Source organism: Homo sapiens, chromosome 3 (genome assembly GCF_000001405.40).
Source record: "Homo sapiens chromosome 3, GRCh38.p14 Primary Assembly".
NCBI lineage: Eukaryota > Metazoa > Chordata > Mammalia > Primates > Hominidae > Homo > Homo sapiens.
The window spans coordinates 2,512,350-2,529,676 of NC_000003.12; the positions used below are offsets into that span (position 1 = coordinate 2,512,350).

General features: G+C 36.2%; 1 protein-coding gene across 35 annotated transcripts in view, besides 1 other annotated feature; it reads left to right on the forward strand.

Annotated features, from left to right (window-relative positions):
* Nucleotides 1–17,327, forward strand: part of CNTN4 (contactin 4) — a 959,094-nt gene that overhangs the window by 413,484 nt on the left and 528,283 nt on the right. The window lies entirely within an intron of this gene.
* Nucleotides 15,782–15,851: an enhancer, noted in NCBI's record as "active region_19334". NCBI's record gives its function as "activates an Ori minimal core promoter by ATAC-STARR-seq in GM12878 lymphoblastoid cells {active_cell/tissue: GM12878}" and the evidence as "EXISTENCE:reporter gene assay evidence [ECO:0000049][PMID:35858748]".

Consider the following 17,327-nt stretch of genomic DNA (forward strand, 5'->3'; position numbering starts at 1 on the left):
ATGTGAATTAAAAAAACAAAAAAAATCACTTTAAATTTGGTTCATTTATCTTTTTATGTATCCTCAAATGCCATCTATCAAATTAATATTTATTATTCATGCAAGATTCATTGTAAAAATGCTATTAGAATTTAATATTGTTAATAATGTTTGCATGATGTCTTTCACATGATCAATGCCTTAGTGAAATTAAAGATTGTTATCACTGTGGAAAGGGATTTGTGGATTTTTCTGTTTCCCTAACCTAAACATAAATCACACCTGTCTTTTTTTATTAAAAGTGGAATAATTGAGCTGTTGTAAAAATTGAATTTGAATAAAAGTGGCTTGAACAGCATGAACCAATGGCCAGGGCTAATGTGAACCAAAGTGAACTTAAAATCATGAATACCTGAAAAGGGGAATTGAAGTTTCCACACTGAGCTTGAGACCATGGAGCCTGATGGTCCCATAATTTCCAGAGTGGGAAATACAGTTTCCCTGAGTAGGCAGTAAGTCTCAAGGCAGAGAAAAACCACAGACTGTGAAGTACAGAAGCATCTTACTGGTGAGGACAGAGTATGTTCTCATTAGATTTGGTGGAGAGGAACTGTGCAAGAGAGAGAAGACTCAAAATAGATGGTTGTCTACATGAGCACAGGCATTTTCAGAGCTTGAGATTTGGAGGGAAAATGATCACAAAACAGTACAGAATGCTTAACATCTGGTAAGATGAAGCAAAAGACGGACTCTGGTACCTCTGAGTAGCAAACAGTCCCAGGGCTGTCCTTGCCAAGTAATCAGTTCTCTGGAAAAAAGTAAGTGTGCAAAAAGGCCTGCTAATGAAATCTGAAGTAACGGCAAGTGGTTTTGATGGCTATATGGTCCCTAAACAAAAGGCTGGCCTCATGCCTTCTTACAAAACTGAACTGACCTTTGTGAGTGATGATTCCTGGTGAACCCTTAGCTATATTTTTAAATAACTGTTAGTGTTTTTCTGACTACTGCAAGTATATGATCTTGTGCAAGATGTGATCTTGTTTTAAGAGGGATTTATGGATTTTTCTGTTCAGAAATAGGATTAGTTAAGGTCCAGTGATTTTTTTTAAACAAATGCTTAATTTGTATCTACTTGGTTGAGTAAATAGTGTTCTTTTGAGTTTCGATTTCTTTTTTTTTCAGGGTCCCGAACCCCTTTATTTGTACTTAGCAGAAACGATTGCCTTCTGTAGAGGAGTATCTTCCCAATGTAGTTAAATTTGATTTTTATTTTCCATTCAAATATTTAGAAATTTCAACTTATACCTTACAATATTAAACATTTTTGTAGTCAGTCACCACAAATCTCAGAGAGGTATTTGCAAGATTTGTAGTTTGCTTCTATTACTTTCGGAATGTTTAGATAATTTTATAAAATTGGGACACTGTCTTCCTAGTTGTTTGCTTAATCTGCAGGAAAGTGGATTGAACTCTCCAGGGGTCAGTTTAGGGTATGTGGTCTCTTGACAGATCGGGAAGCCAGATATACCTTGTAAGAGGTACTTCTAAAGCCATAACAATTTGGTCTTCAAAATAAATTTAAAGTGCTATGAAAGAGAATAAAGGAAAAGTCTTGAATTGTATATGTAAAGATAGTGCATCTCTGTACGTGTTTGCATGCATACAAATCTACCCAACAACATTGTGGACAATTTCTGTGCTACCCAAGTACACTAGCTCTTTAGTTCCTAGAAAGCCCTGGGGTTGAGCCAAGTGGAAAGAATTTTGTAAATTGGGATACAGCAGCAGAGAGTTAAATCTCCTTGCATTCTTTGTTTTGGACCCTCGGCAGACTGTTTTGTTTGACCCCAGAGCTGCCGGCTTAAGCACAAAGAGGACTTTATAACGTCCTCAGCGGCATTTGGAAGCAGGACCTCTGCACACAAATCATACCCTAACCCTCCTTAACAGCTTAGGGCAGCCACTGTGAAGCAAGGAATGCAGTTCTGTGAACTGTCTCTATGATGACAAGTTAAAGAGTGAATATGAGCTGGGTGTGGTGGCACAGGCCTGTAGTCCCAGCTACCAGGGAGGCTGAGGTGGGAGGATAGGTCGAGCCTAGGAGTTTGAGGCCAGCCTGGGTAACTTAGTGAAACTCTGTCTTTAAAAAAAAAAAAATGAATATGACTGAATGAAAAATAATTAATTTAGTAACTGTAATACTTTTGGATGATTTTAAATGTTATCAAGCCTTAACTGTGCATTGTCAAAGTATACACTCCATTGGTTATCTCTAGTAACAGTGAAAGATTGAGTTAACCTCCTGTAAGATGCTGTGCAACTCTAACAAGCTGCTTTACCTCTCTGTGCCTCAATAGCCCCCAGTAAAATGAAGTATGATTTCTGTGATCCTTCCGAGGTTAAGAAAGTTACGAACTCATGACATCTTATTCTAACTGGGCATTCATGCCTGGAACGGCCTTCAAATTGCCTAGGGACAGGGTGACATGTGACTTAGCTGTCATTTTAAACAATATTTCACTAGGATGCTTTCATTTTTTCTTCTTTCATTTCTCTTTCTTTCTTCCTCCCTTTTTCTTCCTTCCCTTCCCTCCATCTTCTGCTACCCCCTCCCTCTCTCTCTTTCTACCCTTCTCCTTCTCCCTGTCTGTCCCGTTCCCTGTTCTCCTCTCCCTCTGCCTCCCTCTCTCTCTTTTTCATCAGTTAATTGTCCTCAAGTCAAGTGTGACTTTAGAAACGAGGTTCGGATTGTCTGCTCATTTGCATAACCTGTTTGCGGCTTTCTCTTATGATAGTTCATTGAAGTATCAATGACTTACTGATATACTGCTCTGTTATATATTAGAATTACTTAGCTTTAGGCATGTATGTGCAGCAGGGACCCAGAAAGTTATGCTGCATATGTAAGTGTGTATAGATTGCCCATGTTAATTTTTAAAATAAGAGTGTTGTTAATCTTATACTCTAAATTGAAGATGATTAAGGTGAAGGATTTATCTTAATGTATTAAGCTAACAATATTTACTTTAAAAATAAAACAAGTGCACAAACAATAGCCCATTTCAAGGTAGCAGGATATTAAAGAGCTTGATTTTTAAAAAGAGAAAATATGTTCATCGAATGATTTGATTTTTCTGTAAGAAATTGTCTTGCCAAACAGTATGGAAAAATAAAAGGCATACATCATTTTATTAACAAATAGATACCCGTCCACATAATGAAGTAAGCAACTTTGTGAAACATGAGATAGGAAAAATATTTTATGGAAAGTTTTTTTAATGATACACTTCTTGTAATCTTAGGATTGCTTATCACTAGATAAGTCCTCTTAGTTGAAAACAGCAGATGAAGAAGTTACTAAATCCATCACTAATGAGTGCTTCTTGATATACTCGAACCAACTTGTGAATACACTTCATTTGAGAATCTTTACTGCAGATACTGGAAAAAGCTAAATTAATTTCATAATTTATACTTGTAGGACATGGATTGTAGTGCTTTTTGTTTCTTCCACTGTTAAATGGAATAGATGGAATGGCACAAAAATTTACGGACTAATATTTTACTGTACAGTTGACTATATATATATACACACACACTTATAAATATTTTTTAACATCAAGTGTACTCCAAGATGGATGATAAGTGGCCATTTGATGACAGTAATAGCTTGGATGGGCTCATCTTATTTCAGATCAGGGTAGTGTTATGACAGCTTTTAAATGTTAGTTGAAATACTCATTTTTCTCTCCATTTTTATTATTGGGAGGTCTCTATATGTGTCTTACTATTCTGGAGTTTGAATATTAATGTTATTCCTTATTGAACTTGTAGGCTATATTTGATGCATATATATATATATTTTTGATGCAGAGTATAAAATTAATTTTCCAAATCTCATAAAACTGAGTAGATATCCTGGCTTTTTAGGCAGCAGGCCTGTTGTAAGTAGAATCCGTAATGTGAAATAATTTGTTTTATCGTCGTGCATCCATCTATGACCAAAATGATTTTGTACTTAGGAACTATTTCAATGCAAACTAGATTATACTGACAGATAATGTTTGATAATTTGTGGCTCTCAAATCCTTGATTATAAAGTTACCAAGCAGCTTCAGGGACATTGCTTTTGGTTTTAATCTAGTACCTCTGTTGACTTGAGATGTTCAATTCAATATTACTTAGTTAATAGCTCCAATGGCTTATCCGACTGTTTTATTGTATAGTTAAAAAGGTAAAGTAAATTGGACATAGACATGACTCTAGGGCTTGTACATGGCTTCATGTCTTCACCTCTATTCCAAAGTAAGAAGGGAAGTCCTTCTGCATTTTTGCATGAAATTTCTCTATGTTTTAAGGGAGGAATGGGGTGATTTAAAATTGAGAGGAACACATCAGAAGGAGCTGCAAAGGAATAAAGTGTTTCTTATGGTTAGATATAAAATGCAGGGCTATACATTCTGAAGATATGGCAGAATTTAGAGAAGCTGACTATGCCAGGCATTTGGCACAGGGGACTAAAGGAGACAGATTTAATGCTTGCCAGAAGGAAACCCTATATCAGTGGATAGAAATTTGAGTGCCCTGCAAGCAAGCAATAACAAAAGAAAGAAAGAAAAAAAAATGTAAATAAGGAAGTAGAGGAATGACTGTATTGTGGTTGGAAGAGATGTGGTTTCATTCTGCAAAGGAAAATTGTGAGTGAATGAAATATATCAAGTGTAAGGACATTGGGACTAATTCAAAAATATTTTGCATAGGTATTGCTAAGTTACTGTGAAATAATTAAGACATTTGGATCAGTGAAGAGATACAGAGAAAAAGGAGTGCTGTTGGATTTGACTGTACTGGCTGACACACTTTAACAATGTAATTATCTTAAATGAAGTGGGTATTGTGACACCGTAGTCAGTCTGTCTTATTTCAGTGAGTGTTTCTGGAGTAGTTAATGGGGATATTCCATCTAGTTCAGTAGATATTGATAAATATGTATTTATGGAAACTATATAGCAGTTTTTACAGGCTGCCAGTAAATTACCTTGATCCTTCTACCAATGTCTGTGTTTCTGATCCCCCACTCCTCCCTCCAATGATCTGTATTACCCCAAATAGTCCTAGGAGATGGTGTGAGAAGACTGAGTTTGAGGAGGTTGATTTTATTAAATCACTTCAACCTTTCAGAGAGTAAATAAGTTCTTACGGTAGGGCGTAATGCCATGCAATACTGAATGACTTCTTGAAATCCTTTCACTTCACTTTTCCTTTACCAAGCACTTTGTCCAGAGTAATATGTTTAGGTCTTCCAAGCATTTAGATAAATAACCTTGTCTGCTGGACATGGACTCAATGAGTCATACCACTAATTAAACACGGTCATTTGCAAGAACTTTGCCTCCTCGCTGGTTAGAATTCATTGTATATGTGTGTGCCTTTCAGATAGGTAAAGCTGCTCACACACAGGCATAATGCTTGACTCCAGGGGTGAAAACAACCACCATCTCTCAGAAGAGAACAAATCATGTGTTCAAACATGGTCTCTGGCATCTTTTTGATGTGTGTGTTAAGTGTGAATCTGGTAATTTAAGGTGTGTGACTCCTACTCCCATCCAGCTGTCTGGCTTTGTGCTTAGAGAGAAGAATAGCAACAGATTTAGACTGACACAATCCTTCCCTAGAGTCCCCCTCCCCTACCTCTCCCTGCAGGAATCCACAAGGGTATTCGGTTGATTGCTGTTGTTAACCTCTCTTGTAGTATTATATTTCTTGTTGAAAGTACCTTTTGTGGCATGTGAGTACATTTAAGAGATGTGAAAGGCTTTAAAAATGGCTTTACTTTTAAACTTTCTTACCTAAATTATTAGGAGGAAAACAGTTTCTTAGGTTAATATGTGTGTGTGTGTGTGTGTGCACACACGCACATGCACGCATCTAGGCTAAGATCTTTGCAAACCTTTAATGTTCATCAAGGGCTGTGTCTAAATGATACGTTGATTATAATAGGATTTTTTTTCCAAATCATTTTCGTAATACATGAATAATACTCAGAATGTTCATGTAAAGTGATAGACTGAACTATTTCACTTGAGAAACATTCTTGATGTTGTACATGACAGTCTTCGGTCGCAAAATAATCTAGAAAATTAGGAACATGTCTGCAAGTCTGGTTAAGGCTCTGACAGTTCTTCTAATATATCTGTTTTGGTGAACTTTGAGCATCACAGAGTTTTCTCAAGGTATGAAATAAATACCTCTGGTAGAATGTTTGATAATCTCAGAGTACTCAGGAATTTTTAATAGATATGTTAAAGATAAAAAATATATAACTAGTAAATAAAACATATAGTTTTACAGATAGAATTGTTTAGCCCATGGCTAAATGGATAAACCTAAAAGTTTTGATAAGCAATTTTGGAAGCGATTCTTGAATGTAGCAGAACTTGTGATGATGATGTGGAAGTATAGGGAAGGTAGAACTTTGCCTGTGGGCCTGAGACTTAAATCTACACAAAACAGACTAATAGAAGAAAATCATACAGATTTTTCACATTTACATGGGAGCCGCCACAGGAAAATGAAGACCCAAAGAAGTGGCAAAACCTAAGTGCTTCTATATTAGGTTGAACAAAGAGAGGCAATTGTAGGAAAATAACTAAAATATATGGGGCAACTAAAGAAAAATATGAGTTATTTTAACAAGATCTGTTTGTACAGAATACCCTTGGTTTTGACTCCCTGTCTCTAGTGATAAGAATGTTTCTTTTCTCCTGGTTTAGGGAAGACATCTTTCACATAGGAGTTTTATCTCCTGATGTGACAATGAAAAGGGAAGATCGGCTTGCCCTCCTTGTACCAACTGTGTTTCAAGTGTCTTTAGCTCAAAATAATCCTTTTGCCAAAGTGGCATATTCTGATAAGGGCTCTTCTGCCATCCCTCACAAGTGACCTTGCCATAAGTTATTTCTTGTGTGTCTAAGGATGACACCCTAGCCAACAAGGAAAATGGTGACATTCAATTATGGAATTTTAGGCCTGGACATGATCTACAGATTGTCTTGTCTGTTCCTCTACCAGTAGGTCCAGAGGCTTATCCAAGACAGAATGGTCTTCTTGTAGTCTGTCTAGGGATAGAATCTAGAATTTCCAGAGCCCCATATGGGTTCCCTTCTCTGGCAAGAAAGTCATTCTTGCATTTCTTTTCACATTCTGTACCACGAAGCTAGAACTCTATTGGCAGCCAGATAACCCAGAACCAAAGACCTGCAGAAACCAGGCTGAACACACGAAGTGTGAGGTGGACCAGTTGTCAGGCAATAGGGAGTCCACAGGGTCTGTAAAGAACGGTGCATCAGGGTTCCTCCTAAGTGTTGTGGCCATGTTGGATTGTGGGGCCAGTGTTGCTGTATCTCAAAAATTTTAAATATTGCTGTTTATTTTTAAAATGTGTGAAAGCTAAACGCATCTATCGAATTCATAACATCCAGTTTTCAACTTCTATGGTAAGTTATTTGAGGCATCTCTCATTGGTTGCGGGAAAAATATGCGGATTCACATCATGAAGTGGCATATACTCTACCTAAGAGAGGGAACCTGTGTTAATGATCCATCTTGGGTACTTCTAGGGAGGAACCTAAGAGAATGAGGTAAAGCATGTAAGGATTCCTACAAGGCTTTTTTTAAACCCTAATATGTTTCATTCATTGTCAGTTTATAAGGATCAGATTTAAGAAATCATATTACAGGTATGAGTCTGAAGTTAATGACACAGAATTCAATAAATATATTTTGCTATGCCTAAGTAATTCAGGTCAATAGACTATATTGTAGTTACTGATTTTACTAACATATTTAATATTTTTATTTCTACTGGGGTGCTAAAGTTGCCAGTCATGATTTACATTACCATAGAAAAAGATAGGTTGGTGATTGCTTCCTTTTTTTTTTTTTTTTTTTTTTTTTTTTTTTGAGATTGAGTTTCACTCTGTAGCCCAGGCTGGAGTGCAGTGGCACAATCTTGGTTCACTGCAACATTCACCATCTGGGCTCAAGTGATTCTTGTGCCTCAGCCTCCTGGGTAGCTGGGATTATAAGCACCTGCTACCACACGCTGCTAATTGTTGTATTTTTAGTAGAGACGGGGGTTTCACAATGTTGGCCAGGCTGGTCTCGAACTCCTGACCTCTGGTGATCCACCTACCTCTGCCTCCCAAAATGCTAAGATTACAGGCATGAGTCACCACATCCAGCCCTTTTTTCCTTTTTTAAAAAAACTTTTGATACTCACTGATTAATTGGGCAAATAGAGGAAATCTGCAAATGAGAGGGATAGAAAAATGGTCTAATTTACACTTTTTTTTAAACCACAAGATAGAGCCTAAATTCCATTTAATTTTCCACTAGACATTTTAGACATTCTATCTGATAAAGGAACAGAGAACACAGTGCTGGGCTGTTTAAGCACAGTCATTTTTCTTGCGTACCTGTGCAGATGACAGAATCACCAGGTGGTCCCATCTTGAGGACCACTGGCCTATATTTATTAATTCATTTAACTTATTATTAATTAAATTCCTGCCATTTACCTCATACTGTTTGTTCTAGAGTTCAGAGATAGAAAATGAACAATATGAACAAACAAACAAAATTACTACCCTTACGAAAGTACGTGCATTCTAGTATGGTGACAAAAAGGAAAGGCAGTGTTCTCCAAGCCACCCTTTGGATCTGAGGCGCCTTGTCCCTATTTTCACTACTTCTTCTTGCTCTGTTGGCTGTTTTGCCCAGCTGAACATACTTCTGTGGTATTTAAGTTGATCTCATATAGGCCATATGAAGTGGATGAACAAAAGTTTTTCAGATATTTTTGTGAACTCAAAATTATGTGGGCCTAGAATAGCTGAGTAATTGAGGCAAACTCTTATTTGTTTGAAGATAGGATTTTGTAATCAGGCCATCCAGCTACTGAAGCAGGCCTCTGCTTCATTTTGTTTCTGTGAACAAGGGTGGACCTCTACCCATCCCCCCCACCCCCCGCAATAAGTCACTCATTTCTCAGGTGTTTTTGTTTCTGCCTGCCTTAAATGGTGGAGTTGACCAAATTGACTATTTTGAAACCTATTTATAACTTCTAGATAAGGGTACAGCCATCCCTCCCTAGGACATGGTTTTAAGTAGAGTTGAATGAATATGTGAGGAAGGAAGCATTTTGAGCTTTTTTGAACAAGTTTTACAACTGCAAAGTGCTATTACTATTAAAGATAATAATTTAGAAGTAAATATTATAGCAACTAAGTGCAAAAGAGCTCTTAGTGCACTATTTTCATTTCACCGTATAAAAAGAAAATTGGTAGTAAAATATATAGTGTTTATCTACTTTGTAATTTCTTTCCCCCAAGTCTATTGACTTTTCTCTCCCTTCGGACTTCCCTTTGGTAACTCAGAAGCTTACCTAAGTTTTGAAGTAGCCAGCTAGAAGGAGTTACAGAGTAGATGACAGCTTTGTCTTTTTTTCTACTATCAGAGGGCTCAACACTGTGGAGTGATTTGTGGGGGCATCTGACATCATCAGAGGCGCAAAAGTAATCGTGCTTATCACTAAAGAGAGTTGGCTCTAAGCTTTGGTAAAGTGGTCCTGATCCCGTGTGATCCTAAAAAAAGATGAGAGGAATGATCATTACTGTTTGGAGCCTACAGGCTCAATAACCTTCTAACTCTGCTTTTTAATTAAACACAGAGCACTTAGGGGTTTATTTATCCATTATCAGGCAGGCAAATCCTCTACTGACATCATTAGATTTTATGGCATGTGGCCTGCCTAAGCAGTTTGTGTGTGTGTGTGTGTGTGTGTGTGTGTGTGTGTGTGTGTGAATAATTAATATGAAAGATATTACATTACTACCAGTACAATATGCTTTACTTCCATAGTCTAGAAACATGCCTTTTTATGCAAAGTTGCAACATGATTCAAATTGATGTAGTATTTTAAAGTTAAAGCTCTATACTCAGTATTAACAAGGTGGTTGCATTTTCCACAGAGACTCTAACAAACGATGTAGTCTTAAATATCAATTGATTTACAATATCTCTTAGCCTGACATCAATATTAAGGCTTTAGGATAGCTCTCACATGAGAAATCTGATATTTTGAACTTTGGATCATAATTAATTTCACAATACAGTATTGTTATCTTGTATTACATATTTTTTCTCATGTTAATTTGACTTACTGGCTATTAATAATAAGAAACGCACTATTTCAATGACCGAAGAGTGCAAACATTAGGTAGTGATGCTAGTAGAAAAACAGTTTGGACAGTGCTTCTTAAACATTAGTGTGTGGAAATGCAGATTCTGATTCAGTTAGACTGACTGGGACTCAAGACTCTGAATTTTTAATTAGCTCCCATATGATGTCAGTCTTGGTGGTCCACAGATAACACTTGAGTAATAAGGATAAAGACCATGTGGAATTCCCTGTTCAGCCCACATGAGATTTCCCAACTGAGGAATTCTTTCTTGAGTGTCTTTTTCTTTCATCTTTGTCTCACTGTATTGTTATTTGAAATCAGAAAATAAAAAGTACTAGATTGATAGCTCTGTCCACCTGTCAAGTGAAAAGTTTGCATCTCATTTTGTATTACACTATTTTATGCCCTAAATCTTTGCTTTCTGTCCTAAATTGATCTGGTACATCTTTGCCTGACATCTGAGTCTTGTAGATAGTTATTTAAAGATATGTGAAGTAAAAGATTGTGAATGTCATGGCTAGAATAGATGCTATCTCCAGAGTCTAGGAATTGAGGTATGTACTGGAGACAAAACAGACCTGTTCTATATGGAATGTTCTGGAGTATTATGAAAGACACTCTTGTTTGTTTCTTTATTTTTCACCCTGTGGCTTATGAAAGTGAAATGTGGGCTTTTCTAATATATGCATTCTCTAGTTTCCTATACACTGTTGATTTCCCCTTAGTAACATTGCATATTATGTTGCTCCTAGTGGTGACAAATCTCAGGAAAGCAAGAGACCTTAAAAAAAAAAAAAAAACAAAACTTTTTTCTATTTGTGACATGATGACAGCTGTCATGGGAATGGGGAAAGATAGAACAGTTTTTCAGAATCCATCAAGTGAAGGTACATTCAATGCTGTAACTTAATGAAAGTTGCTTTATTGTGACATGAGTCAGAGTCTTTGGTGATGCAAGTGTGGAAGGATCTTTTCTGAAAGATTTATGCCTCAAGTCTGGATTTGAGCTGAAGGGACATGACCTTGGCTTTGAACTTGAAAAAGGTTACCCTCTGTAAGAAAGTCCAGAGTCAGTATGAAGAGGTTTTCAGATCAGGACGGCAACAGAGAGTAAACAACACTGCAGAGTCTCTCTGAAATGTGCAAATATCATGACAAGGAGAGGTCTCCTTAGCTTTATTTACCCAGAATCCTCACGTAAGAGGTAGTCATCTGGGTGCTTAGAAATCAAAATGAATGACTCACTTTTTCAATTTTCATCAAAATAACCCTTGTTTTGTAAATATACACAAAAAAACTACCCATCATTTGAAATTTCTATTGTAAACCCCATTGTGAATGTATTATTGAAAAGATTGGAAAACCTTAAGGGAAATTCTCAACCAAATCTTTTTCTGAACAGCTTTTTTGAGTGGAATAATTATGGTATAATTCTTATGTCATACAACTAACACATTTAAATTGTACAATTCAGTGTTTTTAGTGTATTCACAGAATTGTATAACCATCAGCATTATCAATTTTAGAATATATTTGTCATCCCAAAATGAAACCCCACCTGTTCACAGTCGCTTCCCATTTCTCCTCAATCCCTCCCTAGACCAACAATAATCTCTTTCTCTGTGCCTCGTCTGGATGTTTTATATAAATGGAATCATACAATATGTGGTCTCTTGTGACTGGCTTATCTTGCTTGGCATCCTATTTTCAAAGTTTAGCCATATTGTCGTGTGCATCAGTACTTCATTCCTTTTTATGGCCAAATAATATTTCATCATTTTAGATATACTACATTTTATTTATCCATTCTTTAGTTGATGGACATTTAGGTTGTCTAAATATTTTGACTGTTGTGAACAGTGACCCTATGAATAATCTGGAATCGTTTTTGTGTGGACATACACCTAGGAGTGGAATTGATGAGTCAGAACCGAAGATTTTAACCAATATGTTTAAATTTTAGCAACACTGAAATACAGTGGATGTAACTAAAGAGAATATGGAAATGGCTATAAACGAAAATGCTTCTCAATGAAGAGTTTTACTCATTTGAACAAAGGAACTATCCCTCTTATTTTTTTAGTCTCTATAAAGTAAATGTTCCCAACACTTTTTGTCCATCTCCTCTGTCTTCAGTAGTGGCACACTGTCCATGAATTAAGGATATGAATACTAGGCAGGAAGTTAAATTCTGTTCTGCAAAAAAAGAGTATGTCATTTCTGCTTATTAAGACCATGATAAATGCAACTTGAATAAGAAGAATAATTGTTTAGTTAACACAATAGGAAAAAAAAGTTTAATAGAATACCAGCTCAGCCTTTTGGAGGCTTAGCATATTTGAATGGCAACATAGAACACTGTAGGGAAACTCTCAACCTGTCTCTAAAATCCAGAGTTTGAAGATGCAGTAAGGTTTTGAGCTTGTATTTTCTCATCCCTGAAAGTGCCAATTAAGATAATAAAATTTAGAGCCTATCCAAGTTGGAATTAGATCTTCACTGTGTGTGTCACTGAATATGACGACCTGGATGAGAACACCTATTAGAGGGGAGGCTCATTTAATGCACTGGAGATAGCTATGGTGTTCATGCAGCATGCACTGTGGAAGGCTGTTTGGATTGCATTTGATTACCACTGCTGTGTGTTTGATGTTTTGCAAGTATTCTATGGGGACTGCCTTTTCTTTTTCCAATTGAAAATAGGCTAGAAAAGGGATATAAACATGTTAGTGCTCTGAGAAAAAATAAAGATATTAATATATTTCTGCAAAAATTGTCTTTCTTGACCTGAATCATAAAAGGTATTGTGAACATAACAACTGACTGGATATTGTTTATATTGTCGGTAAATTTCAGTCAGTTGAAAATATTTTAAAGTCCATATATATCTGTGAAAGGCATAGATGTAAGCTGCATTTAATGTGCTCCAAAATCAAACAAGCAAGTATTTTACTTAAAATGTAGGTTATTGGCATACCTTTGTGTGTATGTTACTTCAATGTTGAACACAAGGTGTAAAAATACAGTATTTTACATTTCTGCAGAATCTTGTCACTACAGTTTTCTTTCATTTGAACTTAACAGATGCCAAGATTTTCCATTTAGTAAGTATTATTACTAGCAAATATATTATCTGGAACACAATCAGTATCAAATTCTGGCTTTCTAAGAATATTGAAAATGTATATGTAGAGGTGAATATTGCAGATAAACTGAGTACTGAAGGAAATGGTTGATTAAATATTATTCAGTTTGCTTTGTAGTATGATGAAACATTTTATATATACATATGTGCTAGCACACACATGCACAAACACATGCTTACATTGTCACAGGGAAACAAATACACATTATACCTCCACCCCCATTGCTACTACAAATAAAGGTCTTAACAAGGTAGGTTTCTTATCACACATCTTACAGTACATCAGTTAAGACTGAATCAGGGACAGCACAAGACAAAACAGAATCAAAAAGGTAGTGTGACTGCAGTATATACTGTACATTTAGTGAGTTTCTATTTATAATCCCGCCCACCCTCCTAACACATTTTACCCATCCCTGGCACTATGGTCCTCCCTATGACTCAGCTCCCAGGCCCTTCATGCGCCCCACAATCTTTTTTCTCTCCACCTTCTCATTTCTCTGTCTAGATTTATTCTTAGTAAAAACTGAGAATACTCTGTTTCAGAAGTTGTTAGAATTATCAAAGTTAAAAGAAGGAAAAGAAGCTGGTATTTCTGCAGTGTATCAGGTAGTTTCACCTACATTTTATGGCATATTTAAAGGACAAATTCTTCCCTATGACTAAAATTCTCCTGCTTGGAAAACAAATACCAAAATCATAGCCATTCCTAGTATCTGTAATTGCTAAAAATCAAAGTTGTCAAAGTTGAAGTTTATGAATGAAGGAAATATAGTTGTATAAAAGCAAAAAATGTGAAAACTTACATAGTAACTAGGATAAAATAATCCAAGAATAAATTTATTCCAGTCTAAGAAAAAACTTGATTTACCAAAATACGTATGGGATTTAGGGTAACTATTACATGTAAACCAATCATGTACTTTTTTGAAATGGTGACTGTTGCACACTTTACATTCTTTCTCTTATATTCATGAAATATACCACTAATATTTTGATATAAAAATATCTTCCCTGAGGTTTTTTTACTTAATATTTGCATAAATAGGCATACATCCATGCTTGGGAGGCAGGTTGAGAAAGAAGATTATATTTTACTGAAAAAAATTGTGGGAATCATAGTCTTACAAGTTTACTGGAGCTGCTAACAGAGCAGCATATGTGCAATGAGAACCATCCTTGATAACTGGTTTGCTTAGCCACTGCCCAAATCTCTAGATCTGAATCTTGTTTTCATTGCTGACTTTCTTTATGAACTCAGACACATACCATTAACCTCTCTGGACTTTGGATACTTTCTCAGAAAACGTAGAAGACAGATTGATTCTTCTTAAGCCTTGTTCCTGTCCTGGCATTCCTTAAGAATGAGGTTGCATCCAGCTGCAGTGTGGGTGCACTTGGGCTTAGTGCTTTTTCTGAGACACTGTGTTGAGCAGAGATCTTAGCCATGCACTGTTGGTGTGAACTCTGGATTCCTTCTGGTCATTACATGTCCTCTGGCACTGTTTTCCAGCTGAGGGCTGTGACCTCAGAGCCTTGGCCCTGTTTCATCTTTTTATGTGGATGTCCTCTGAAGTTTTAATTGCTTACACTGTCTTCCTTTTTGCTCCCTGTTCTGTCACCTTAGAAGTGGTCGTTAAAAGCTGCCATTTTACTCTTGAGGACTGGCACACCAAATGAGGGAACAATGTATGCTGCTGCTGCTGCTGCTGCTGCTGTTGCTGTTATTGTTGCTGCGGTTGTTGTGGTTGTGTGAGTTTAGGTGGCTGTGGAGAAACGTCTTTCAAGATTTAGCATCTGAAACGAGAAGTGTGTTGAGGAGATGGGATTTTCATATCGCCTGTTCTATCTTTGCATGCGGTGTAAAAGGTCAAAGCCTTGCTTCATCCGTAAAGCACCTTCTTTACATAATAGCGAGCATTGACTCTGGGCATAGCTTATGTCCCATCCCCTCTTTTCCTGAGGATTACTTTAAATAGAAATACCTGTCTATTATTTAAATATAATTTTGTCCTCTTTGTGTCTTCTGAGAGCTAGTTGCCCCTAGATGTCTTTCAGCCTTGCTCTTCAACAAAAATAGAACAAGTTTATTGGTAGCCCTTATGACACATCCCCCACAGTTGGATACTTGATCCTCCCCCTTTTAAATCTGCCCTCAATTCTTTCTAAAGCCATCTCTTTCTAAAGCAAGAGTTCTGCTTTCCTTTTGTTTTCAGATATATGTCCCTTCCCGATGTCTCCCTTCATTTCTAGGTTTCAGTTTTCAATGTTCTTTCATTTGGTCATAGACTTTTTCTGTGTTCTTTCTAAAACAATCAGTGTACTTTCAAGTTGTCACTTTTCATTCTCAGCTATGGGGTGAGGTAAGTAGGTGTTCAGATTTTTATTGATGTCAAGGCCTCCTCTTGTCGCTGAATTGGTTGCATCTTGTTCACAGTACTGAGTAATTATTAATATATCAAATCCAAGCTCATATGTTGATTGGACTGCCTCCTTTCCCCATGGATGTTGTAGTCTTGATTCTTTGTTGTATTTCAGAAAGGAAACCTCTAAAATTTTATTATTTTACATTTGAAATTGTTATTTCTATTTTATTGGAATTGGATTTTGATTGTGTATTATCTCATATGTGGAGAAATCAGGAATATCAACCATGTTATGCTACACTGATGATCAGTCAATGCATTGGCCCATAAAATGAACACAGTTATACACCAGAGATCAAATCATTCCCATTAAAACAACTAGATGCTAAAATAGCACTGATATTAGGAAAACCATGCTATGACATTAAAATAATTCAATCCAAGGTGAAACCGAAACTGATTTGTCTGAGATTGTACTACTTTACTGACCCATTTTATTAAACGTAATTTTTTAAAAGCACTTTTAGGAGGTAGATAGTATAGTGCATTATTGAGATTATAGGTGGTGGCTAAAGCCCTGTAAGTATATTACTGAAACAAATTTTTTCAATTCTCTGGTAGAATATGAACCAAGGTTTTTTTCAATATTAGCCTTTAAAAAACTCTTAATACTCCATAATTAGCCTACAATATAATAATTTGTTTCCACCTTTAGTATGACAAGCTATTTCTTGATTTTTTTCACTGAGACATAATTATATATATTTATGAAGTACATAGTATTGTCTCAATGCATCCAATATATAGTGATTAAGTTAGGTTAATGAGCATATCCTGTCACCTCAACATTCATCATTTCTTTGTGTTGAGAACATTCAAAATCCTCTCTTCTAGCTTTCTGAAAATATATAATAAATTATTGTTAGCTATGGTACTCGTACAGTGCTATGGAACAGTACAACTGATTTATCCTATCTGCCTAGAATTTTGTATCCTTTAATGAATTTCTCCCTATCTTTGCTCTCCCCACTCTTCCCAGCCTCTAAAAGCCACTACTCTACTCTCTACTTCTAGGAGATCAACTTTTCTTAGCTTCTACACAGGAGTGAGAAGATGAAATATTTATCATTCTGTGCCTGGCTTATTTGACTTAACATAAAGTCCTCTGGAGTCATCCATGTTGCCCCACGTGAGAGGATATTACTATTTTTTATGGCTGAATAGTATTCCATTATGTATATATACGTATTTTCTTCATCCATTCATCTGTTGATGGATACTTACATTGATTCCATACCTTGGCTATTGTGAATATTGCTGCAACAAATATGGTAGTGCAGACATCTCTTTATAATACTGATTTACTTTCCTTCAGATATATACCCAGTCATGGTATTGCTAGATAATGTTTATTGACTTTCATATTTGTATGGAGTAGAAAATGTATAATATGTATTATGATTTGTAATACATGTATTACTTACTATATACAAACAACAGAGCCAATAAAATGACATAGCCTATCTGTCAAGAAATCAACATGAGAGGAGACATTGTTGGTTTCAAGGGATATGCCTTTTTTCACAGGTAGGT